Source organism: Homo sapiens, chromosome 1 (genome assembly GCF_000001405.40).
Source record: "Homo sapiens chromosome 1, GRCh38.p14 Primary Assembly".
Lineage (NCBI taxonomy): Eukaryota > Metazoa > Chordata > Mammalia > Primates > Hominidae > Homo > Homo sapiens.
This window is the reverse complement of record NC_000001.11, coordinates 226,850,644-226,876,022: the sequence shown is the minus strand read 5'-3', so window position 1 is coordinate 226,876,022 and position 25,379 is coordinate 226,850,644. Positions and strand designations below refer to the sequence as shown.

General features: G+C 43.6%; 1 protein-coding gene and 1 long non-coding RNA gene across 12 annotated transcripts in view, besides 4 other annotated features; one reads left to right on the top strand and one right to left on the bottom strand.

The window, feature by feature from the left end:
* The window catches only part of PSEN2 (presenilin 2), a 33,053-nt gene extending 27,646 nt beyond the window's left edge, over nt 1-5,407 (bottom strand). For 7 of the 11 annotated variants that reach the window (XR_007061979.1, XR_007061980.1, XR_949150.4 and 4 more), the window contains exons 1-3: nt 5,374-5,407; nt 4,619-4,761; nt 473-658 (exon numbers count right to left, since the gene is read on the bottom strand). The gene's annotated coding sequence lies outside the window, so the exon portion shown is untranslated. Of the gene's footprint in view, nt 1-472; nt 659-4,618 lie in introns of all 11 variants that reach the window. The other 4 variants (XM_047425601.1, XM_017001835.2, NM_001437537.1 and 1 more) reach the window with 2 other exon arrangements.
* Nucleotides 4,945-4,994: a silencer, noted in NCBI's record as "silent region_1894". NCBI's record gives its function as "represses an Ori minimal core promoter by ATAC-STARR-seq in GM12878 lymphoblastoid cells {active_cell/tissue: GM12878}" and the evidence as "EXISTENCE:reporter gene assay evidence [ECO:0000049][PMID:35858748]".
* Nucleotides 5,005-5,604: a silencer, noted in NCBI's record as "silent region_1893". NCBI's record gives its function as "represses an Ori minimal core promoter by ATAC-STARR-seq in GM12878 lymphoblastoid cells {active_cell/tissue: GM12878}" and the evidence as "EXISTENCE:reporter gene assay evidence [ECO:0000049][PMID:35858748]".
* LOC105373119 (uncharacterized) lies at nt 5,473-17,020 on the top strand. The gene is made up of 3 exons (XR_949226.4): nt 5,473-5,661; nt 14,306-14,474; nt 15,587-17,020. It is a non-coding gene; the product is annotated as an uncharacterized LOC105373119 (long non-coding RNA).
* Nucleotides 12,101-12,649: an enhancer, noted in NCBI's record as "OCT4-NANOG hESC enhancer chr1:227051075-227051623 (GRCh37/hg19 assembly coordinates)". NCBI's record gives its function as "activates a minimal SCP1, AML or CMV promoter by ChIP-STARR-seq in naive H9 embryonic stem cells {active_cell/tissue: H9 hESC(naive)}" and the evidence as "EXISTENCE:reporter gene assay evidence [ECO:0000049][PMID:30033119]".
* Nucleotides 24,399-25,133: an enhancer, noted in NCBI's record as "OCT4-NANOG-H3K27ac hESC enhancer chr1:227038591-227039325 (GRCh37/hg19 assembly coordinates)". NCBI's record gives its function as "activates a minimal SCP1, AML or CMV promoter by ChIP-STARR-seq in primed H9 embryonic stem cells {active_cell/tissue: H9 hESC(primed)}" and the evidence as "EXISTENCE:reporter gene assay evidence [ECO:0000049][PMID:30033119]".

The following is a 25,379-nucleotide window of genomic DNA, read 5'->3' as shown; positions in this document are numbered from 1 at the left end:
CATTCTCTAGAGAAGTGGCAGGAAAATGCAGAGAGGCAGAAGGAAGTGTCCAACATAGACTACGTTCTGGAAAGCCTTCCAACAAGGAAGTGCTGAGGCTGATAGCTGCTTTGGATTAGGATGCAAAATCAAACATCCAAAGAAGCCACTGCACATTCCCATTAATCAGCTGAATGGGATCAAACTGCTGAATTAGCCAAACCAAGGGAGTCTGACCTAGAGAATCTCCCCAGCCGTGCTTGTGTCAGCAGTTCCTGCAATCATTATGGAAACCCAATGACCCAATTTCCTCGACCTTCTTTTCATTACAGAGAAATGTAAAGGCTTTGGCCTTAACATTTAAGGCCAATGGAACTAGGTAAGAAACAGATTTCAAAATGCCACAGCAAACTCCCATGGAAATCTGCCTCCACGGAGAAAATCCTAATGGAAAAAGAGGGTTCAAAAGCAGGTTGGGAGTCACTGCACTTACCACGAACACTTGGGGCCGCAGAGAGGTCTGAATCCCGGACACTTGGTTTCTTCTTCTCAGCAGGCTAAATGAATGATGCTCCCTGGCTTTCAAAGAGGGCAGCGCTGGTTTTTAACACGTCACTTTCTATGGTCACACAGCTCCCTCACATCACTCTCCTGACGTCTGAGAAGTCCCACGTCCTCGCTTAAAACAAGGAAGAGTTTGCTAAGGTCAGGTGATACCCAGACAATTGCCCACAGCTTCCCTGCTCACCTTCCTCCCCCTGGCCCTGGGTACCCGACTATGTATTTGGTCCAGCTGACCATCCATCTCAGCTCATATAGTAACACATACCACTTGGGGATGGTTCTCCCTGGCCTAAGCCAGAGCTGGGGCCTGAGTCTCAAAGGGAAGTGAGGTACTGCCCTACCACCCTCCCGGACCACAGGCCCCAGGGGCCCTCTGATGGGGCCTCCTGAATTTTGGGCCAGGCTCTAGACTTACCTCTAACAGCCCTGTCCCACTCAGAAGTGCCTGGGGCCCAGGCAGAGTTCTCTCATTTCCTGAAGCAGCCAGGGAAAAGGGTGGTTTGTGGGGAAGTGGGAGAGGGAGCCCCTAGCACGCCCCTCTGGAGTAGGCTCCAGAAACACATTTATTTTTAAACAAGCAGCAGCAAGTCAGCGGTCAAAAGCAGAGGCTTTGGAGACTGACAGGGTTCAGATCGCCTGCCTATGTGATTTGAACCACATACTCCCTGGCCAAGAGGCCTCAGACAGTCTAATCTGACACAGCTCATTTCCTCTGCTGTAAAAAGCAGAACAGGCATACCTTGCAAGATTATCGTAAAACCTAGAGATAACCTGTAAAGTGTCCAGCACACAGTAGATGTTCAATAAGTCGTAGTTATAAAGAAGATGAAATGGAGGAGGGACACAGTGAGAAAGGACACGGTAGCCTATGGATGTGCCTCTTGGAAAGTTACGGATCTGCTGAACCACCAGACACATGAACTGGCTTCAAAGGCCAGGCCCCAGAGATCAAGTTTCCATTCCCGGCCCAGCCCCAGGCACTATGGCCACGTAAACATATTATCAAATGAAAGGACATATCCATAGGACAATGTCAGAGCTGGCAAGGACCGTAAAGGCCATCAACGCCACCTAGTCAGCTCCCTGTATTATAATTAAGGACAACTGAAGCCTAGAGGGGCAAAAGTAATCAGTTAATGTCCCATGGCCAAAAGCCACAGTTACAACTCAAGTCTCCAAACTGCCCATCAAGGAGCTCTTCTCAGCCCAGTCAGCACTTGTGAGGGTCACGTACCCAGTGGCCAGGGTTTGGTCACACAGGCAGGCCCACCACACACTACACAGGCTTTCTGGGAGCACACTCACAAGACACATGCCTTCACCACGGGCAGGTATGTGTCAAGAAATGCTCCCTAATCACTCACTCACCAGCTCATCTGTCACCTCAAAACTCTCAAGTCTCTCTCCTGCCCCCAGGGCTCACTCTGCTCTCCCTCTGCTACTTGCCCAGGTAGGTTTGGCTCCATGGTGGGGAGTGCCCACATATGGGCATGGGGAGGACAGAGGGCACTGCTTCTCTGGGGCAAAAGGGAGGGTGGGAAAGTGTCCTGCTGTGGGACTGGTAGGATAAATAATTCAAATGCTCTACACAGCCATCAAATCTGCTTTTCCATGAGTACTCAATAAAAGGAAAATTCTGAAGGCATAACAGAAAAAACAGGATACACAAACTTCACCTACGGTTCCCTCCCTCTATTGTTTTAATAGATAAATATGCATATGTGAACAGTGTGGAAGGAAATGCATGTTAAGAGTGGTTATCTCAGCCCAGCGCAATGGCTTATGCTTGTAATACCAGCATTTTGGGAGGCCAAGGTTGGCGGATCACCTGAGGTCAGGAGTTTGAGACCAGCCTGGCCAACATGGTGAAACCCCGCCTCTAATAAAAATACAAAAATTAGCTGGGAGTGGTGGCAGGCACCTGTAATCCCAGCTACCCAGGAGGCTGAGGCAGGAGAGTCGCTAGAACCCGGCAAGCAGAGGTTGCAGTTAGCTGAGATCATACCATCGCACTCCAGCCTGGGCAACAAGAGTGAAACTCCATCTCAAAAAAAATTTTTTTTCCCTAATTTTCTAGAATAAACATGAATTACTTTTATTTTAAAAAGAGTCCAGTAAGTTTCTGGTTAAGGTACAGCAGAATGGTGGACACCCTTTGAATTGTTCTTCCCGTTCTAGAATTTTCACAAAGATGAACAAGCAGCCCATTCTCCCACTCAGTGAAGAGGCTCTCAAGAAATGATCTCCCTCACTGACATCTGATCTTTCCTGAGGACTGATGTGAAACCATTTTTTTTTTTTTGAGATGGAGTTTTGCTCTTGTTGCCCAGGCTGGAGTGCCATGGCCCGATCTCGGCTCACTGCAACCTCCGCCTCCTGGGTTCAAGCGATTCTCCTGCCTCAGCCTCCTGAGTAGCTGGGATTACAGGCATGTGCCACCACGCCCGGCTAATTTTGTATTTTTAGTAAAGATGGGGTTTCTCCATGTTGGTCAGGCTGGTCTCAAACTTCCGACCTCAGGTGATCCACCCACCTCGGCCTCCCAAAGTGCTGGGATTACAGACATGAGCCACAGCACCCAGCCTGAAATCATTCTTTTCTCCAGACATTAACATGATGGTCATCCCATCTCCAGGATTGGAGCCCAGTGGAAAATGTTCCTCTCGGGGCCTCTCAGCCTCACCCCCGCCTTTCCGCAGCTGTGGCAGCTGGGAATAGAACAGGTGGGAATACTTGCAGAAATATTTGCTGTCTTATCAGTCCCCAACTAAACAGTGTCCGAAAGTCAAAGCAACAGCTGAAAACCCGCCAGAGATGTTTTCATTAGACACACTGCATGTGACCTACACACACTGCTTTGGTTTCTTTAAAAAAATTTTGTTTGTTTGTCAGGAAGTTGCTCATGGGGACTCCACAAAACTTTCCCAGCAGTAGTGGAGAGACACGGGTAGGAGTTGAATACAGGAACCTCCTGCGCAAAAACTCAAGAGATAAAGACAGTGTAGCCAGCTATGTTCAAATCCTGGTGCTTAAAGCACTGAAGCCACATAACTGGACTAGCTGCTTAACTCCCTGAACTTGTTTCCTCTTCTGTAAAAAGGTAATAATAAACTATTTCAGTGTCATTGAAATTCTTAAGATCTTAAATTCTAATATTCTGTACAAGATAGCTTTTTATTATGACCAACTCATAAGCGAGATATATGTCATTATTAACATCGATAACAGAGAAAGGCCAAAGTAGGCAAGAGGCAAACCCCCCTTGGGGGGACGGTGAGCAGCTACGGAGGGGAGACAGGTGTGACATTATGCACCACAGCTCCAGGCACCCCAGCAGCAGCCCCTAGCCCTTGCTCCTCCTCCTCCTTGCTGCTCTTTCAAATAGACAGGAACAAGCCACTCACTCCCCACATGTGAACATGCTGGACTCAAGACTTGGCACATGGGCACTTCAACACCAAAGGGTACAGAGTTTTCCCCAAAAACCTGATACATCCATCCCACTTCAAAGCAACATGCCCCCAAGCCCTCACTCCAGTCTCTGCCCTGGAACCCAAGGCTCAACGTGGGCGTCGTGAGGACGCAGCTCTGAGGTGGGGCCAAGAACCAGGCCCCTTCTGCACCTGCGCCAGTCACCGGCTGCCCACAACCACATTCAGGAGAGAAGAACCTGAGGCTCACACACCTGAAGCAGCTTATCCCGAGACTCCAATTACCGCCAAAGGTCTTGGCTGAAGGCCTTGGAGGCTCAGGTGTCTGCAGAATTGGCTACAGAGGCATCAGAGGCTTCCTTACTGGAAGCTGGGGTCGGTCCTAATCAAGTTACTTCGTAGACAGCCTTGGCAACCCCAGGCTGTCGCTTCTGAGTTAAGTTAGTCTACAATCGTCTCTATGGAATGCTCTCAGGTTCTCCATTTGTAAATAGGGATGCAGTTACTTCACTCAACACCGTTCATACCTTTCAAAGGGAATACTTATTAAGGCAATAAACAGGGGTGAGGTCTGCTCGGAGGGATGGACAGCAGATCTAGAAGCCAGGACACTGGGGTCGAAGCCTGGCTCTGCTATATCGTACCTGGGCGACCTTGGGAAAAGTCACTTTAGCTCTGTGGCCTCAGTTTCTTCATCAGTAAAATTCAGAGGGGGGACTAGCTTCTGTCTCAGGTTCCTTCAGCTCCAAAAGCTTGCTTCTGGCTGTCTCCTCACTGCTGGAAATGCCTGATAAAACAGCCAAACACCGCTGCTAACAGAAACCGGCTCTAGGCTTGAGCCTGCGGCCCTGCCCCTCACGTGCGGGCAGAGCCCCCGCGCGCCTCCTTCCCGGGGAAAGCATGCCCAGGACCCGGTGCTAGAGGCCGAATGGACTCGGCGCAACGGAGGTCTCCGGCGAGAGAGAAGAAGAACAAAACGCCCCCGCCTGCTACACGCCTCAGAGACCCACGTGCACCGCTCCTTTAAATGCACCGGCCCTTTAACCGCTCGCGCCGCGCCCACCCCCAGCCGGGGCTCGGCGGCAGGCGGGCGCAGGGAAGTGGGGACGCAGTGAGGCCGAAGGCCTGAGGGCCGCTCCCCGCGATCCTTCCACGACCCAGTTCCGGGCCGGCCCAGCCGCCGCCTGCCGGGCACTCTCCTCTCTCCGCCCCCGCGCTGGCCGCAGAGGCCAGGAGCGCTGCGCACGCAGGGGCCGCAGACCCACAGCCGGGGAAGGGACCGTGGCCAGAGGCGTGCGGAGGGCAGGGCAGGGCCCTCAGGGCGCAGCCCCACCCCGGGCCCTCAGCGCCGCAGGCGACAGGGCCCTGGCCTGGGCACCCCCCGGCACCGCCCGCTCACCTGCTCTGCCGCCGCGCTCCAGCGGAGTTTACGCAGCTGGCTGAGCGCCCGGCCGGACCCGGCGCCGGCCCAGGCCCCGCCCCACGCCCGCCCAGGCCACGCCCGGTGGGCGACGCCGCGTTCCCTCGTCCACTGGGGCCCCACCTGGAGTCCCGGGCGCGCGGGGAGGGTGGCCTTCACGCCGCGTGGATGACAGGGTCATCCCGACGTCGGAACTAAGCGACGACCTTAGAAGGAGTGGAGGCCGGGCCTGTCATCTTCCTGCGGGCCTGGCAGCAGCGTGGGGCGGTAGGACATAGGCTTCGAGGACACTCTTTCTTGTAGTTTTGGGTCCACATCCCCTCCTCCTCCCGGTTGTTCTCACATTAAAGGAGCACTAATGGCCCAATGTGAGCTAACACCATGAGAATGTTCCTGGTCTGTTCCCTAGGGCGCTTCAGAGCCACCAGGAGCTCTGCATAAAATTGAACAGGAATAAATTGCTGCCTGACCTGAGAATTGGCCTAGGGGGTTGTGGTTCCAGGATTTGGGGTCTGTGGGGTAGGTTGAGATTGTCAATAATTTGGCGTTGTCTGAGTAGTTTTACTTTTTTTTTTTTAACTTAAGGTGAAATTCACATAACATAAAATTTACCATTTTAAAGTGGGCATTTCAGTGGCATTTAGTGAATTCACAATGCTGTGCAACCACCACCTCTGTCTAGTTCCAAAACATTTTCCTCATTCCGAAAGAAAAACCCCATACCCATTGAGAAGTTTCTTCCCAATGCCCTCTTCCCCCCCAGCCCCTGGCAATTACCAGTCTACTTCTGTCTCTATATTTACTTACTTTAGATACTTCATATAAACGGAATCACAGTGTGTGGACTTTTGTGTCTTTCACTTAGCATGTTTTCGAGGTTCATCCTCAGGTAGCATGTAACAGACTTTATTCCTTTTTATGACTGAATAGTGTTTGTGTGTGTATATGTATATGTGTGTGCGTGTGTGTGTGTGTATCATGTATGCCACAGTTTATTCATCTATGGACATTGGGGCTGTTTGCATCTTTTGGCTTTGTGAATAATGCTACCATGAACATGCATGTACATGTATTTGTTTGAGAGCCCATTTTTATTTGGGGAGGGTACATACATAGGGGTTGAATTGTTGGATCGCATGGTAATTCAATTTTTTTTTTTTTTTGAGACAGAGCCTTGCTCTGTTGCCCAGCCTAGAGTGCAGTGGCCGCAATCTTGGCTCACTGCAACCTCTGCCTCCCAGGTTCGAGCAATTATCTTGCCTCGGCCTCCTGAGTAGCTGGAGTTACAGGTGTGTGCCACCACATCTGGCTAATTTTTGTATTTTTAGTAGAGATGGGGTTTCCCCATGTTGGCCAGGCTGGTCTTGATCCTGAACTCAAGTTATCTGCCTGCCTTGGCCTCCCACAGTGCTGGATTATAGGCATGAGCCACCGTGCCCAGCCTTCAGTGTTTAACTATTTGGGGAACCCCAAGTGGTTTCCACGATGGCTGAACCATTTTATATTCCTACCAGCAATGTACAGGATCCCAATTTCTCCACATCCTCACCAACACTTGTTATTTTCCATTTTATTGTTATCCTAGTAGGTGTGCAGCGGTACCTCATTCTGGTTTTGGTTTACATTTTCCTAATAACTAATGCTATTAAGCATTCTCCTTTTCATGTGTTTGTTGGCCATCTGTATATCTTCTTTGGAGACATGCCTATTCAAGTCCTTTGCCCATTTTAAAATTGGGTTGTCTTTTTGTTGTTGGGTTGTAAGAGTTCTTTATATATTCTGGACACTAGACCCTTATCAGATATATGCTTTGCAAATATTTCTCTCCCATTCTGTAATTGTCTTTTTCACTTTCTGATGTCCTTTCATGCACATAAAACTTTAATTTTGATGAACTTCAGCTTAACTGTTTTTTCTTTTGTTGTTTGTGCATTTGGTGTCCTGTGTGAGATATCATTGTCAAATCCAAGGTTGTGAAGATTTACTCCTGTGTTTTCTTCTAAGAGTTTTATAGTTTTAGCTCCTATATTTAGGTTGTTGATCCATTTTAAGATAATTTTTGTATGTAGTGTGAGGTTAGGGTCCAAGTTCATTGTTTTGCATGTGGACTTCTAGTTGTCCCAGCACCATTCGTTGAAGAGATTGTCCTTTTCCTATTGAATTGTCTTGGCTTCTTGTCAAAAATCAATTGGCCATAGATGGATGGGGAAAACCAAATATTTTCAAAGAGCTGTTTAAATGCAGATTAACCCTGGATGGAACTGGGGCAGGCCAGCATTTTGGCTAAGAAAATAATGGTCCAAATAATGATCTTTGATAAATTTGAGAAATTAATTACATTTAACAGAATTATAAAAATAATCGATTCTTGGAAAAGGAAGGACACCTGAAGGTCACAAAGTCCAACTCTAACTGATGCATATGAGCCCTTGCTACAGAATTCCTGGGAAATAACTCCCCAACCTGGTTTGTTGTTGTTGTTGTTTTGAAACAGGGTCTTGCTTTTTCGCCCAGGCTGGAGTGCAGTGGCACGATCTCAGATCACTGCAACCTCTGCCTCCCAAGTTCAAGTGATTCTCTTGCCTCAGCCTCCCAAGTTAGCTGGAATTACAGGTATGTGCCACCCTGCCCAGCTAATTTTTGTAATTTTAGTAGAGAGGGGGTTTTTGCCATGTTGACCAGGGTGGTCTCGAATTCCTGACCTGAAGTGACCCTCCCGCTTCGGTCTCCTGAAGTGCTGGGATTAGATTACAGGCATGAGCCACCGCGCCCATCCCTGATTGGTTGTTGTTGTGTTGTTGTTATTTAGCTTTCAGTGTTGCACTTGATAGGCTGAATTTCCCCTAATGTGAAGAGGCTGCATATGCCCTAAGGTGAAGCATAATGACTCAATAAATGAGTTAGGAAGTTGTGATATAATAAAAATAAATATTTGGTCTTTATCCCCGTTCCTGGCACAAGCTTCTAAAACCTTTGGAATCTCAGGTGTGATGAATGTTGTTGGTATGCTAATGAAATGACTGGTGGCTGGGGACCCCTGACTAGCTTCAGGATAGGGGCTGGTGGCCAGAAAGACTAAGGCATGATCTAAACAAACAGAAGACTGCAGCCCTTAATAAGCATTAACAGGATCTGATTTCCAGAGTTACCACATTATAATATTCAAAATGCCCAGGTTTTTTTTTCTTTCAATCAGCTTTTTCAGGTTGAAGTGCCCAGTTTTTGTTTTTTTTTTTTTTTTTGAGACAGAGACTCCCACTGTCACCAGGGCTGGAGTGCAGTGGCGCGATCTCAGCAGCCTGCAACCTCCACCTCCCAGGTTCAAGCGATTCTCCTGCCTCAGCCTTCCGAGTTGCTGGGATTACAGGCACCCACCACCACACCCAGCTAATTTTTTGTATTTTTAGTAGAGACAGGGTTTCATTATGTTGGCCAGGATGGTCTCGAATGCCTGACCTTGTGACCCACCCACCTCGGCATCCCAAAGTGCTGGGATTACAGGCGTGAGCCACCATGCCAGGCCCGAAGTGCCCAGTTTTTAACCAAAAAGTAAATAAATAAATAAAATAGGAAGCATACCAAGAAAAAAGAAAAGTACAACCCATTCACAGGAAAAAGAAATTGATAGAAACCATCCCTGGGGAGGCCTAGACATTGAACTTGCTAGACAAAGACTTTTATTTAAATGTTTAAAAGTTTACTTAAACGTTTATTTAAATGGTCTTAAATATGCTTAACTAACTAAAGGAAACCATGGACAAAGAACTAAAGGAAGCCAGGTAAACAATAAATGTATAAACAGAATATCAGCAAAGAGACAAATTATGAAAAATAAACCAAATCAAAATTCTGGAGCTGAAAAGTACAATAGCTGAAATGAAAATTTTGAAAAGATGAACAACACTGACAAATCTTTAGCTAGACTGAGAAATAAAGAGTAAAGATGCAAATAACTAAAATCAGACATGAAAGTAGGGGCATCACTATGGACCTTACAGGAAAAAAAAAAAAAAGCATTTTAAGTGAATACTGTGAACAACTGTACACAAATGACCAAAACTGACTCAGGAAGAAATAAATCTGAACAAGCTAGGAAAAGTAAAGAGATTGAATCCAATAAGAGGTTGAATCAGTAAGGCCAGGCACGATGGCTCAAGCCTGTAATCCCAGCACTTTGGGAGGCTGAGACGGGCAGATCACGAGGTCAGGAGATTGAGACCAGCAGATCACGAGGTCAGGAGATTGAGACCATCCTGGCTAACACGGTGAAACCCCATCTCTACTAAAAAAAAAAAAAAAAAAGCCGGGTGTGGTGGCAGGCGCCTGTAGTCCCAGCTACTCAGGAGGCTGAGTCGGGAGAATGGCATGAACCCGGGAGGCGGAGCTTGCAGTGAGCCGAGATTGAGCCACTGCATTCCAGTCTGGGTGACAGAGCGAGACTCCATCTCAAAAACAAACAAAAAAAAAAAAGGTTGAATCAGTAATCAAAAACCTCCCCTAAAGCAGGACCAGATGGCTTCAGCTTGGTGAATTTTCTGCCAAACCTTTAAAGAAAAATTAACACCAATTCTCAAACTCTACTAAGAAATAGAAGAGGAGGGAATACTTCTCTGAACTATTTTTTCTCACAACACTTCTGACACCAAGTGTGTGGTTTTTTTATTCCACACAAAAACAATTCTCCAGACACCAAGTGTGTGTCCTACAATTCAATTCAATTCTGATAATATGTACCTGAAGTTAGCAGAAGCTCCCCAGACGTAGCCATTTGGGGGTGTTTATGGAAGTTTTATTGCGTAGGCACCATTGATTGATCAACATCATTGGCCATAAAATCATTGACCCAGGAGGTCAAGGGGTAGGGCTGAACAGTCCAGCCCTCTTTGCCTGGCAAGTTCAATGTCTAGGCTTCCTCACGGATGGCTTCTGTCAGTTTCTTTTTCCTGTGAATGGGTTATACTTTTCTTTTTTTCTTGGTATGCCTTCTAATTTTTTTTGCTGCTGTTAAAAACGACATTTCAACCTGAGGAAGCTGATTGAAAGAAAAAAACTGGTCATTTTGAATATTATAATGTGATAACTCTGGAAATCAGATTCTTTGCCCTTTGCAAGATTTGCTGTTATTGCTTATTAAGGGCTGCAGTCTTCTTTGTTTAGTGACATTTCCATATGATTTTTGCAGACTGCATTCTTTATATGTAGACACTGAAGTCTTTGATCTGTTACCTCAGTGGTCAGCCACAGTTGACACAGATTTCCTTAAATACCTGGACTAAAAACACCTGGACCAAACACAAAAGAAAAATCTTCTGATCTTGGCAGATTGGCTCTGAGCTGAGGCATTCCTTAGACACTTAGCCAAGCCACTCTTTCCATTTTCCCTAGACTTTACCTCCTGCTTGCATGGAATACAAAGATCAGCCACAGGTGCAAGCCTAGGGTCCTCTTAGATCTTTTCTGAGCATGTGTCCAGCCCTGGACATGTGCATTGCAGCCTGGGTTCCCTGGTATATGCAGTAGCCCTTCAACGACCTTCTTTCCCCAAGCATCTTCCTCCTCAGCGTCCTCCTTCCCAGGATTTTTGGTCTATGTGCTGCATGACCCATCTGCTGTCCCTTGCTCCAGACAGCTATGGGGAGTTTATGTCTTTAAATGTTTTCAACAGGCTGGGCACGGTGGCTCACATCTGTAATCCCAGCACTTTGGGAGGCCAAGGTGGGTGGATCACCTGAGCTCAGGAGTTTGAGACCCACCTGCCCAACATGGTAAAACCCCGTCTGTATTAAAAATACAAAAATTAGGCAGGCATGGTGGTGGGCGCCTGTAATCCCAGCAACTTGGGAGGCTGAGGCTGGAGAATTGCCTGAACTCAGGAGGCGGAGGTTGCAGTGAGCTGAGATCGTGCCGTTGCAGTGAGCTGAGATCGTGCCATTGCACTCCAACCTGGGTGACGAGAGTGAATCTCTGTCTCAAAAACAAACAAGATGCCACCTGGGGAGGTGCACCAGCCTGAGGGGTTGAAGAAAAGACAAGCCTCTGCACCAGTCCCCCAGGGAACTGCCAGGCATGTCAAAATGCACAATCACAATTACTTGAGAACAAAGTCCATATTGCTCACCCTGGCACCAGCAAGCTACATGAGGAATGTTTAGTCCTCTCCCTGAATCCTAGGTACATGGACAACTGCCCATAAGCCACTGCACTCAGAAATCCCTCAGACTATTTTAGGTGAAGCCCTGTAACTAAGTTCCAGGTAATCGGATGGAAGGAGAAGAGGCATGTCTTTTTTGTCATTCTGCTTCCTTTCGAGAATATGGAGATGATAGCCAGAGCTCAGGTAGCCATGCTGGGCCATGAAGACCATGAGGACGGTGAAGCCACAAAATGGAAGGAGCTGTGTCCTCAATTGTGGAGCCACTAGCTTGGCATTGCCTAATTCCTTACTTGGTTTCATGGAGGGAAAACCACTTTTATCTTGTTTAAGCCATTGTAATTTTGTGATTCCCTCACATACAGTTAAATCAAAGCTTGCTTGCACACACGGCCTTTCCAGCCACATTCCTCCTACGCTGTATGCCCCACTAGCTATGCTCAATGCCATGCAGCTCTCTCTGCTTCCATTTCTTTGCACAGCGTTTACTGGGAGTTATCAGGAGGGTCTTCTTCACTTGTCTCTCTCACTACCCATGAGTGTCTTGTCTCTGTCTTGGATTCCTTATTTTAATTCTTGGAGGAACTCAGGGAGAGGAGGGCATTATTGCTTTTTTACACATGGGAAAATGGAGGTTTACAAAGACAAAATTGTTTCCCAATTGTGCTTGGATAATGAGTAGCAGAACCAGATGTGGAACTCAAGTCCCTCTGGCCCAATGCAGTGGCTGGCCCTCTCCTTCACTTTGAAGGTCCCATGGCAGTGCATGCACTGGGGCTGTGGCTGAGGGATCTTTGATGAATTCATTCCCTTTGTGGTTTTCCTTTGAGGTCGTCAGCTGCTTTTCACATGCTGATTTGTGAGGGATGAGTAAACTTCTTCCTGGGCCTGGCCTCAGTTCAGGAGGGATGGCCTCTCTTCGGGTTTTGGTGTTCAGAGCATGGTGTTTTCTTTTAACACACTCTAGGGTCCCAACACTGCTTAGCAGACAGCGTGGGGGAACGGAACCCGTGTGAATGTTAGAACCAGATGGACCCAGGTCTGAAATCTGTCTCTTCTACTTATTTGTTGCCTGACCCAGGGTGATTTCTTAACCTTGCTGGGCCTCAGTTTTCCCACCTGTGAGAGGATAGGATGATATCTCTCAGAGGTTTATAGAGAGAATTAAAGAGAAACCAGTCAAAATGACAGGATTATGGCAGGCACTCTACAAATTTTAGTTGTCTTCCTTCTCCTACTTCTCTTCTCATTTGAGGTAGGAGCTTTGTTTGGTTTTGTTTGACATTGAAATGATAGACTATATTATTGTTCACAAATTTGGAAGCCTTGCTTCACATGAAAAAAAAAATAGAAGAGTAGATGAAGCCAAGTGTGGTGACTCATGCCTGTAAGTTCCAGCTACTTAGGAGTCTGAGGTGGGAGGATCACTTGAGCTTAGGAGTTTGAGTCCAGCCTGGGCAACATAGTGAGACCTCTGTCTCTAAAAAAAGAAGAGTAGATAAGTGCTAGCAATATCTGACATAAGATTGCCATGGAGTGAGCCTGAAGTAGTTTCTTTTGAGCCATGCAGAACCACATTCCATGTCAACAATAGTCTCACCAGTAGGGTTCCAGGGCAAGGTCAGTCCGACATGCATGAAACCCAGCCATAGCATAGGCACTAGGGACACATCCCTAGGGTTTGCCAGTCATGTGTGACACTGGGGACAGAAGGGATGCTTAAAGGACACCTTAAAGCAGCTCTTTCTTTGCTAGAGCTTTTGCCAGTGTGTCTGGGAGTTGGCACCAATCATCTGAAAGATTCTGGTCAACTCACCTAATGACACTTACCACCACATTTTTCCAGCATTTTCTCTGTATTATGGGATGATTTCATCTTTCCATGGAGGATGTTTATGTGATTTTGAGACACTCTTAGGATGGGTCTGCTCTTACCATTTCAAAAATTTAAGCCAGCAATCCTCAACCTTCTTGGCTTCATAACCTCTATACTCTGTTAAAACTAATTCAGAACTCCAAAAGCTTTTGTTTATGTGGTTTATGTTTACCAATACTTAACCATATGCTGTGGTTTGGATGTGGTTTGTCCCTGTGAAAACTCACCTTGAATTGCCAGTGTAGCGGTGTTGGGAGGTGGGGCGTATCAGAGGTGATTAGCTCGTTAAGATGGACTTCTTGTGAGACCCGGCTAGTTCTTGCAGAACTGAACTAGTTACCATGATAGTGGGTTGTTATAACGCAAAGCTGCTCCTTGTTTTTGGTCCCTTTTTTGTACATGCCTGCTTCTCCTTCTGCTTCTCCACCATGTTATGATGCAGCGGGAAGCCCTCACCAGAGGCCAGGCAGATGTGGGCGCCGTGCTTCTTGAACTTCCAGCTCCAGAATCATAAGCCAAAAAAACCTCTTTTCTTTATAAATTACCCAGCCTCAGGTATTCTGTTACAGCAACATTAAGTGGACCAAGATACCATGTTAGAAAGCAAAACTGAGAAATTTTTTAAAAATATTCACTCACTTTAGAATGACAAACCCATTATGTGTTAAGATATGACATTCTAATGAAAAATCTATTTTGCAAACAAATTTAGTGGGAAGAATGGTACTGTTTCACATTCATGGTGAGCAGTTATGGCCCTCAATTCTGTCCACACCTTAATACTCTGAACCTATAAAACATGTTATTTTACGTGGCAAAAGGGACATTACAGATATGATTAGGGTTAACGATTTTGAGATGGGAGATTATCTTTCATTATCCAGGTGGACCCAATCTAATCATCAGCTCCTGAAAAATGGAAAACCTTTTCCAACTGGTGAGAGGGAGATGTGACAGTGAAGGCTCAGAGGGAGATGCACTATTGCTGGCCTTGAAGATTGAGGATGGAGTCAAGAGCTAAGGAATGAACAGGACCTCCAGAAGCTAGAAAAGGTAAGGAAACAGATTCTTCATTAGAGCCTCCAAAAGGGAACACAGCTCTGGGATACCTTGATGGTAGCTCAGTGAGAACCCATGTCACACAGCGGACCTACGGAGCTGTACGAGAATAAATTTGTGTTGTTAAGCCACTGTGGTTTGTGGTAATTTTTAATGGTAGCAATAGAAAAACTAATACAAGGCCAGGTGCAATGGCTCACACCTGTAATCCCAGCATTTTGAGAGGCCAGGTTGGGTGGATTGCTTGTGGTCAGAAGTTCAAGACCAGCCTGGCCAACATGGTGAAACCTTGTCTCTACTAAAAATACAAAAATTAGCTGGGTGTGGTGGCGCATGCCTGCAATCCCAGCTACTCAGGAGGCTGAGGCAGGAGAATCACTCTAACCCGGGAGTCAGTGGTTACAGTGAGCTGAGATCACGCCATTGCACTCCAGCCTGGGTGACGGACAGAGACGCTGTCTCAAAGAAAAAGGAAAAATTAATCCAACAATTTTACAAATCTCTTTAGTGTCTGGCTAAACCAAAGACCGTTGGATTCTTGCACCTGCTTCTGCATTCAGTCTGTTGTGATATGATGCTTTGGTTGAAGTATATGAAGAAAATTTGGCCTTATGTAGATTTATAGTTGAAAACCATAGGAGTATTTTAATAGCCTTTTCAGATCATTGTGGATTATTCTTTGATATAACACCAAATTTAACAGTTGTAATTTCTTAAAGTTTAGTTGCAATGTAGAACATGAAATCATATCAACAAACTTTTCATATCTGTTACATTAATACCCATTGGCCCATCTTGCAATTTGAATGGATCTTTTACTTATGCATTATTTTGTAACATGATGTACTGGTCATTTGGAAAACACTGATTCACTAAGTTATGCAGATCTTCCAACTGTTGACACATTTCATTATACAAGATAAAAAAGATCACATTCATTAATGTCAATCTTATCCAAAGATACAGAGAAGCTATTAAACTCATAATGGCAGATACAAGTTTTCCAGAATTCTCACTTTCATTTGAAAGCTCAAATTTTATCATTGGCAACAAATAGCATCAGTTGTTTCCCTTGAAGTGACAGGCTCACTTTGTTCATTTTTCAGAAAATGTCTGCCAAATACACAAGTCTGAATCACTTCAGGTTGTCCGTCATATTTTCAAGATGGTGCTCTATGCAAAAAACAGTACAGGTTACGACTCACAAAATGACGTAAGTGCTTTTCTTGGAGACAACCAAGATACTTCAAATTGTAGCAGAAATGCTTTATGCCTACGTCCCGTGGCATCACACACAATATTAAAAACAGTACAGGATCAAGGGCAGAGATTAGATGGAATTAATAATTTTTACTGCTCACGCCTGTAATCCCAGCACTTTGGGAGGCCGAGGTGGGTGGATCACGAGGTCAGGAGATCGAGACCATCCTGGCTAACAAGGTGAAACCCCGTCTCTACTAAAAATACAAAAAATTAGCCGGGCGCGGTGGCAGGCGCCTGTAGTCCCAGCTACTCGGGAGGCTGAGGCAGGAGAATGGCGTGAACCCGGGAAGCAGAGCTTGCAGTGAGCCGAGATTGCGCCACTGCAGTCCGCAGTCCGGCCTGGGCGACAGAGCGAGACTCCGTCTCAAAAAAAAAAATAAAATAAAAAAAAATAATAATAATTTTTACTGCTTTATTAAGTACATTCTCAACTGAGACTGCCATTTTAAAAAAATCACCAATATCATAGCAGTGAAGAATGCAGCATCGACTACTCTGTTTGGCGTCACAGAGTTTGTTCATGCTAAGGCGTCAGCAGTTTTACCCAACACTGATTTTGTTCCATCAGTGCACATATCAACATAGTGAAAATGAGTGATAACAAAGTCTTAATATTATTATGAAAACCATTTTGCCCACACAGACCCTGGGGGTCTGCAGACCACACTTTGAGAACTGCTTATTTATGCCATTTTATCTAAGGACATCTCCACCTTCATTCCATATTTCTATGATGTGTAGTGCATGGGCTTAGCATTTTGGTGTCTGTTTCTGTAAACCATTGCAAAGATGTGCACACACACTTTATTGTCATATTCTAACGAGATTTATGAAATTCACAACACGTACTTTGTAGACAATTTGGCAAATGTTTTTCTTTTAAAAATTCCTTGGCTTTCTCTGCATTTTCTTGGGTTCTGTGTGCTACTATACACATGTTGATTTATGAAGGGAAGTAGTAGCTCTCAGATGGTTATTCCCACTTAGCCAGAAATTACTTTGTTGACAGTGGAGAGAAAAGAAGTAATGCATACATCTGGATAACACTTTTAGTTTCATTACATTTTGTTTGCTTCCACATCTAAATTATAAGATAATATTGTATTACGCTAATTAGCATTCATGATTTTTTCTGGCTTTACAGATTTTGTTTCTATGGTAAAGCGATACACATTCATTAAAGAAAACTTAGATATTCTAGGCCAGGTGCAGTGGCTCACACCTATAACCCAGCACTTTGGGAGGCCAAGGTGAGCGGATCACAAGGTCAGGAGTTTGAGACCAGCCTGGCCAACATGGTGAAACCTCGTCTCTACTAAAAATACAAAATTAGCCTGGTGTGGTGGCACATGCCTGTAGTCCCAGCTACTCGGGAGGCTGAGGCAGGAGAATCACTTGAGCCTGGGAGGCAGAGATTGCAGTGAGCCGGGATCACACCACTGCACTCCAGCCTGGGCGACAGAGCGAGACGCTGTCTCAAAAAGAAAAAAAAAAAAAAAAAAAAGAGCTGGGTGCGGTGGCTCACGCCTGTTATCCCAGCATTTTGGGAGGCCAGGTGGGCGGATCACGAGGTCAGGAATTAGATACCAGCCTGACCAACATGGTGAAACCGTCTCTACTAAAAATACAAAAATTAGCTGGGCATGGTGGTGCATGCCAGTAATCCCAGCTACTCAGGAGGCTAAGGCAGGAGAACTGCTTGAACCCAGGAGGCGGAGGTCGTAGTGAGCCGAGATCGCGCCACTGCACTCCAGCCTGGGCAACAGAGTAAGACTCCGTCTCAAAAAAAAAGCAACAACAACAACAAAAACTTAGATATCCTAAGCAGTATAAAGAAGAAAATAATAGTTTCATCTTCCAAAGATGACCAATAATAATATTTTGGTGCATTTCCTTTCAACCTTTATCAAAAATACAGTATGTAGAGCATTTTGTAGCCTGCCTTTCCCCCTTGACATTGCATTTTATGCATGTATTATTGTGTAGTCTTTAAAACATTATTTGAAATAATGTAAGAGAGCTGGGCACAGTGGCTCACGCCTGTAATCCCAGCAGTTTGGGAGGCTGAGGCGGGCAGACCATGATATCAAGGAGATTGAGACTATGCTGGCTAACACAGTGGAACCCCGTCTCTACTAAAAATACAAAAAATTAGCTGGGCGTGGTGGCACGTGCCTGTAGTCCCAGCTACTCAGGAGGCTGAGGCAGGAGAATTGCTTGAACCCAGGAGGCAGAGGTTGCAGTGAGCCGAGATCACACCATTGCACTCCAGCCTGGGTGACACAGTGAGACTCCGTCTCAAAAAAAAAGAAATAGTGAAAAAGTATTCCAAAGAATAGATACACCACACTATAACCATATACTCACTGTTGTGCTTATTAAAGATTATTTCCAGTTAAAAAAATTTTAGGCCATAGATTTCTTTTTCCGTATTTAGATTTCTTTCTAAATCTGCCAAAGTAAAATTATCGGGGTCTATAAAAACACTGTTTTTCTACTCAAAACACTTCTGACCAACCGTATGGGGATTTTCCCCACTCTTAATCATTTCTTCAACTCTCTGTACACCAGTTGGGTGTCCTGACATTCAGTTCAATTCTGACACTACCTACCTGGAGTTAGTGCACACCTCACAGGCCCCACAGACTGCCCATACTTCAGAGCCAAGCATAAGACACAGGCCTCTGCTACTTCTGACCAACTTGACTACAAATTGGCGGTTCCCACAGCCTCCTCTTCAGGTTTGAGAGTTTGCTGTAACAGCTCACAGAAGTCAGGGGAAACATTACTTACGTCTCCTGGTTTTGTAGAAAGGATTCAGATGTACAGCCAGATGGAGAGGTGCCTAGGGTGAGGTGGGAAGGGTCCTGAGCACAGGAGCTTCTGTCTCCATGGAGTTGGGGTACACCGCCCTCCTGGCACGTGGATGTGTTGAGCATCCTGGAAGCTCTTGGAACTCTGCAGATTAGGGATTTTGGTGTAGGCTTCAGTTCATAGGCATGATCCATTGTGCATTCAGTCTCCAGCCTCACTCTCCTCCCTTGAGGATGGGGGGATAGGGCTGAAAGTTCCAAGCTCCTAACCATGTCTTGGTCTTTCTGGTGCCAGGTGCCCACCCAGGAGCCCACCAAGAGTCACCTCATTAGAACAAAAGATCCTTCTATCACCCAGGAAATTCTAGGGGTTTTAGATATGTATCAGGAATTGGGGGCAGAGATCAATATATTTTTTCTTATGTCGCATGGGGCTTTTGAAGTATATTCTCAAACTGCTTTTCAAAAGACTTGAATTAAGGTTTACTCCCCTGCAGGAGGATATGAGAGTGTCTCTATCCCGGCCATTATTAAATGTTTCAGTTTTTTATAAAACTGCTCATTTGAAAGATTCATAAAAACCTCAGTGTTTTAATTTCCATTGAATACTAGGAAGTATGAATTTTTCCTATGTTTGCTTACCAGTTTCATGTTCTCCTTTGTGAAAGACCCATCATGGCCCTCACCTGTGTATATTTTGGTTTCTTGATGCTTTTCTTAGTAATTTATGTTAACTTTTTATGATAAAGATGTTCGCCCCATTTCGGTATTTACTATAAATATTTTCTGAGCTAACACAAAGAATCAAATTAAACCAGATTTACACAAAGCAGAGATTGTTCCAGTATTTATATATTTTAGGGAGACATGAAACATCAATCAATATATGTAAGAAGTACATTGGTTGGTCTGGAAAGGCAGCACAACTTGAAGCAAAGGCAGGAAGACTCAAAGTGGGGAAGGAGCTTCCAGGTCACACATAGGGTGAAACATAAGCAGTTGCATTCTTTTGAGTTTTTGATAAGTCTTTCCAAAGCAGGTAATCAGAATATGCATCTATCTCTGTGAGCAGAGGGATGTCTTTGAAGAGAATGGGAGGCAGATTTGCCCTGAGTGGTTCCCAGCTTGAAGGGGCCCAAGATACTTTCCTTTCACATTTCCCAACTTTTCTAAAATCTTTTCGAGAAAGCATTTTGCAAGAAAATGAGTCTCTGGTCTCAGGTTTCATCTGATCTCTCATGGCTGGGATGGTTTATTCCTAGACGAGCAGGTGCTGAAAGCTCATTTTTAGCAGATTGTGAAGTCTAGTGTCCTCTGAAGAGAAAATAGGAGGAGGAAGGGAGAAAAACAACAACAAACAAAAGAACAATCCTGCAAAATTGATACAGGCCACATTCCTCTGAAGTCTATACATCAGTAGGCAGGTATGAAAGTGTCTTATGTATGTAAATAGGTTGCTGTTATTTTCTTCTGAAGTTTAAGTTCTCTAGTTTCAGTTCGCAGGGCTTTAAGAAAGCACAGCTTAGCTTTCAGTGATTCCCAATTAGGAAAAATGGGAAAAAAAGAAGGAAAAAAAGAAAAAATAATTGAAAACATTATTTTGAAGACTTGTAGCCAAGAAAAAATTTAGAATTCAACCCAAACTGTAGAAATAATAAAAATTGAAAAACATTAGGCAGGATTAGAATCTAACAACAGGTGTACTATACTTTTTGAAACATAAGTTTTCTCTCTCCAGTTTCCCTTGCTGAAGACAAATCATGGTAGGACTGGTTTGCCTTATTATACTTGGCCTAATTATTTGTATACAGTGCAGCAAGAATAATTATTTTTTAATAGTTTTTTAATTGGCTTTGATGGAACTTTGTTCCACAGAAGGGATATCAGATAAGACTTTTTTAAAGCCAAGCCCAGTCGTGGATTTGCGCATCAAATATCAATGAGTTGGGTGAATTTCCTCTCCTGTTGAGGTTCCAAGATAAACCTGGGGCTTCTGGACTTGTTAGAAAGTGACATTCTTTACTTACCACAGGTCAGAAACCTTGTACAGGCACTGCGTACACAAAATATGAGGCCAGTTTTGCCACGGGCTTTATTTCCTCCATAAGCCAAGTTGATTCCTTAAAGGAAAGTACACTATTCCAGTCAAAGCCTTGGTAAAATAACCAGTTTCTCCAATTGTGTCCTGTTACAAATGAAAACAGATTTTTATTGCACTTATGCAAATAACTGTATTGCCATAAGTTACGAATACTCATAGTTTCCAAATTCTGTAGATATCAAGTAGAGAGAAACAAATATGCCCCAAATTTTGTTCATGAGAATATACTAAATTGTTAAAAGCTGTCGATAGCTCAAAAGAAAAGTTTTAGACTCAGAAAAAACAAAGGATCAGCTAACTTTTTTTTTTAATACTTTAAGTTCTAGGGTACATGTGCACAACGTGCATGTTTGTTACATAGGTATACATGTGCCATGTTGGTTTGCTGCACCCATCAACTCGTCATTTACATTAGGTGTTTCTCCTAATGCTATCTATCCCTCCCCCAGCCCTCCAAACCCCAACAGGCCCCAATGTGTGATGTTCCCCACCCTGTGTCCAAATGTTCTCATTGTTCAATTCCTACCTATGAGTGAGAACAAGTGGTGTTTGGTTTTCTGTCCTTGTGACAGTTTGCTGAGAATGATGGTTTCCAGCTCCATCCATGTCCATTCAGAGGACATGAACTCATCCTTTTTTATGGCTGCATAGTATTCCCTGGTGTATATGTGCCACATTTTCTTAATCCAGTCTATCATTGATGGACATTTGGGTTGGTTCCAAGTCTTAGCTATTGTGAATAGTGCCACAATAAACATACGTGTGCATGTGTTTTTACTGTAGCATGATTTATAATCCTTTGGGTATATACCCAGTAATGGGATCGCTGGGTCAAATGGTATTTCTAGTTCTAGATCCTTGAGGAATCACCCCACTGTCCTCCACAATGGTTGAACTAATTTACACTCTCACCAACAGTGTAAAAGCGTTCCTATTTCTCCACATCCTCTCCAGCATCTGTCATTTCCTGACTTTTTAATGATCGCCATTCTAACTGGCATGAGATGGTTTTTCATTGTGGTTTTGATTTGCATTTCTCTGATGACCAGTGATGATGAGCATTTTTTCATGTGTCTGTTGGCTGCATAAATATCTTCTTTTGAGAAGTGTCTGTTCATATCCTTTGCCCACTTTTTGCTGGGGTTGTTTGTTTTTTTCTTATAAATTTGTTTAAGTTCTTTGTAGATTCTGGATATTAGCCCTTTGTCAGATGGGTAGATTGCAAAAATTTTCCCTCATTCTGTAGGTTGCCTGTTCACTCTGATGGTAGTTTCTTTTGCCGTGCAGAAGCTCTTTCGTTTAATTAGATTCCATTTGTCTATTTTGGCTTTTGTTGCCATTGCTCTTGGTGTTTTAATCATGAAGTCCTTGCCCATGCCTATGTCCTGAATGGTATTGCCTAGGTTTTCTTTTAGAGTTTTTATGGTTTTAGGTTTAACATTTAAGTCTTTAATCCATCTTGAATTAATTTTTGTATAAGGTGTAAGGAAGGGATCCAGTTTCAGCTTTCCACATATGGCTAGCCAGTTTTCCCAGCACCATTTATTAAATAGGGAACCCTTTCCCCATTTCTTGTTTTTGTCAGATTTGTCAAAGATCAGATGGTTGTGGATGTGTGGTGTTATTTCTGAGGCCTCTGTTCTGTTCCATTGGTCTATATCTCTGTTTTGGTACCAGTACCATGCTGTTTTGGTTACTGTAGCCTTGTAGTATAGTTTGAAGTTAGGTAGCATGATGCCTCCAGCTTTGTTCTTTTTGCTTAGAATTGTCTTGGCAATGCAGCCTGTTTTTTGGTTCCATATGAACTTTAAAGTAGTTTTTTCCAATTCTGTGAAGAAAGTCATTGGTAGCTTGATGGGGATGGCACTGAATCTATAAATTACCTTGGGCAGTATGGCCATTTTCAGGATATTGATTCTTCCTATCCATAAGCATGGAATGTCCTTCCATTTGTTTGTGTCCTCTTTTTTTTCGTTGAGCAGTGGTTTGTAATTCTCCTTGAAGAGGTCCTTCGCATCCCTTGTAAGTTGGATTCCTAGGTATTTTTTTCTCTTTGTAGCAATTGTGAATGGGAGTTCACTAATGATTTGGCTCTCTGTTTATCTGTTATTGGTGTATAGGAATGCTTGTGATTTTAGGATCAGCAAACATTTTAAGCAAAAAGTCAAAAAGATTAGTTCAGACCATGCTGTTAATTCCTGTTCTGCTTGATACTCGTAAACATTTTAGCTCTCCATGAGTCCTGAAAGTTTTTCCTCTATTCTGATGTCACAATCTCCAAAGTTATCAGAAACGTGCATTCAAGAGCACTTGTTAGAATTGTATAGCTGATTATAAAACTACCTTCTAAAGAGGACCAAAACAGGACAATTGTCCATGGATGATGAAAGTTTTAGGGCAGCCACAATCAAAGACACAATTAATGAGGAAATTTGTTACCTCTGTGGCACACAATAATTTTAACATAACAATTATGATTATTACTGATAATATATACTGTTATGTCAGAATTACAGGAGTTTCCCATAATTTTAGAACATATACCAATAACATATTTATACAAATATAACCCAAAGAAAACCCAACACAATTTCATATTTGATAATGCTTCCTGTATAATTTTTGTACCAAATAAGCCAAATTTTGGACTTCTATTTTCTGGACTTTAGGGAGCCTAATATCTTAAAAGATTAATTAGGTCAGAAAAAGATATAATTTATAATTTGATTTTGGAGAATTTGTCAAATATCAAAGGTTTTAAACATTTGATATCACAAAATAGGTTCACAGGTCATTGTAAAATAAGTCATTTATTTAACCAAAGTGATAACTCAAGGATTTCAAAAAAAAGCAAAAACCTTTATCTTTGAGAGAGGAGACTTAATTTTCCAAATCATAAGCCCTAATAAAAACAGCATGAAGCCAATTAAATTTGTTTTTCAAAATTTTATAAATAATCTATAAAATTTTAATCTTGACCATATGATATAGCTTCCATAAGCCTTTTATAACCTTTACAACCTTTATTAAGGAGTTGGTTAATACTTCAAGAAAACCTTGTTAGGGCAGTCACGGTGGCTCATGCCTGTAATCCCAGCACTTTGGGAGGCCAAGGCAGGCGGATCACCTGAGGTCAGGAGTTCGAGACAAGCCTGGCCAACATGGTGAAACCCCATCTCTACTAAAAATATAAAAATTAGCCGAGTGTGATGGCACGTGCCTGTAATCCCAGCTACTCAGGAGGCTGAGGCAGAAGAACCGCTTGAACCCAGGAGGCAGAGGTTGCAGTGAGCTGAGATGAGGCCATTGCACTCCATCCAGCCTGGGAGACAAAGCAAGACTCCATCTCAAAAAAAAAAAAAAAAAAAAAAAAAACCCTTGTTAATCTGACACAGGGGACCATATGCTGGTTTTGCATCTGTGTGCCTTTAACATTAATGATTAATTTATAGAAAACCTGAACTTATTTTACCTTTCAAAATCAGCCCTCACAATCATACGTGCCCACCTCTTCTGCGATAGTCCCTGGGCCTTGAGGAGTTGAATAGCTTTAATTTCTTGCCCTGTGTCTCAAGAATGCAGTTTATTTTGATTGGCATCTTCTACAGGGCCTGAAGATAGGGCTTTAATTGGCTGTCAGTGTTTAAGATTTAGCAGGACTTGGTGTCCTTTTTAGACCCAGGAGTTGAATCCCTGTTACTCAATGTCACAAGGACTTTAAAAGCACATACAAGGAGGTACATGGATATAATAACCTTAATTTAGAAAAATTTTTTTCTCAGTTTTTTTCTAAGCAAACCGAAACTTGATAATAATATGACAATTTGATCCATATTAACATTTTTTTAAAAAATAAATCATCTTGTGATTTACACTGACTGTTCATGACATACTTGGGTTACAGGAAAGGAGTCCCAATCCAGACCTCAAGAGAAGGTACTTGGATCTCGTGCAAGAAAGAATTCAGGGCGAATCCGTAGAGTAAAGTGAAAGCAAGTTTATTAAGAAAGTAAAGGAACAAAAGAATGGCTACTCCATAGACTTAGCAGCCCCAAGGGGTGCTGGTTGCCCATTCTTATGGTTATTTCTTGATGATATGCTAAACAAGGGTGGATTATTCATGCCTCCCATTTTTAGACCATATAGGGTAACTTCCTGATGTTGCCATGGCATTTGTAAACTGTCATGGCGCTGGTCAGAGTGTAGCAAGATAGCATGGCCATCTTGTTTTTGGTGGGTTTTGGCCGGCTTCTTTACTGCAACCTGTTTTATCAGCAAGGTCTTTATGTCCTGTATCTTGTGCTGACCTCCTATCTCATCCTGTGACTTAGAATGCCTTAACCATCTGGGAATGCAGCCTAGTAGGTTTCTACCTCATTATATCCAGCTCTTATTCAAGATGGAGTTGCTCTGGTTCACATGCCTCTGACACTTATACTTCCTGATTTATCCTGAATATCCCTCCTTCTTAAACAACCAGTCATTTTATTTTAGGACTAAATTTACCATACAAGATTCTTTCTCATATAAAATTATTTCTCTTTAAGGTTTCTAACCGCAAAAAATACCTCTTTATTTTTATAACTTTCTTTACATATTTTTTTATTTCCTGGTTCCTTTTACCTTGTTTTATACATAACCTTTAAATAAACTGAATTAGACAAAACTTATTCACCTATTTTTTTAAAGGACACACTTGGTTTTCCTACAATATCTATTTAT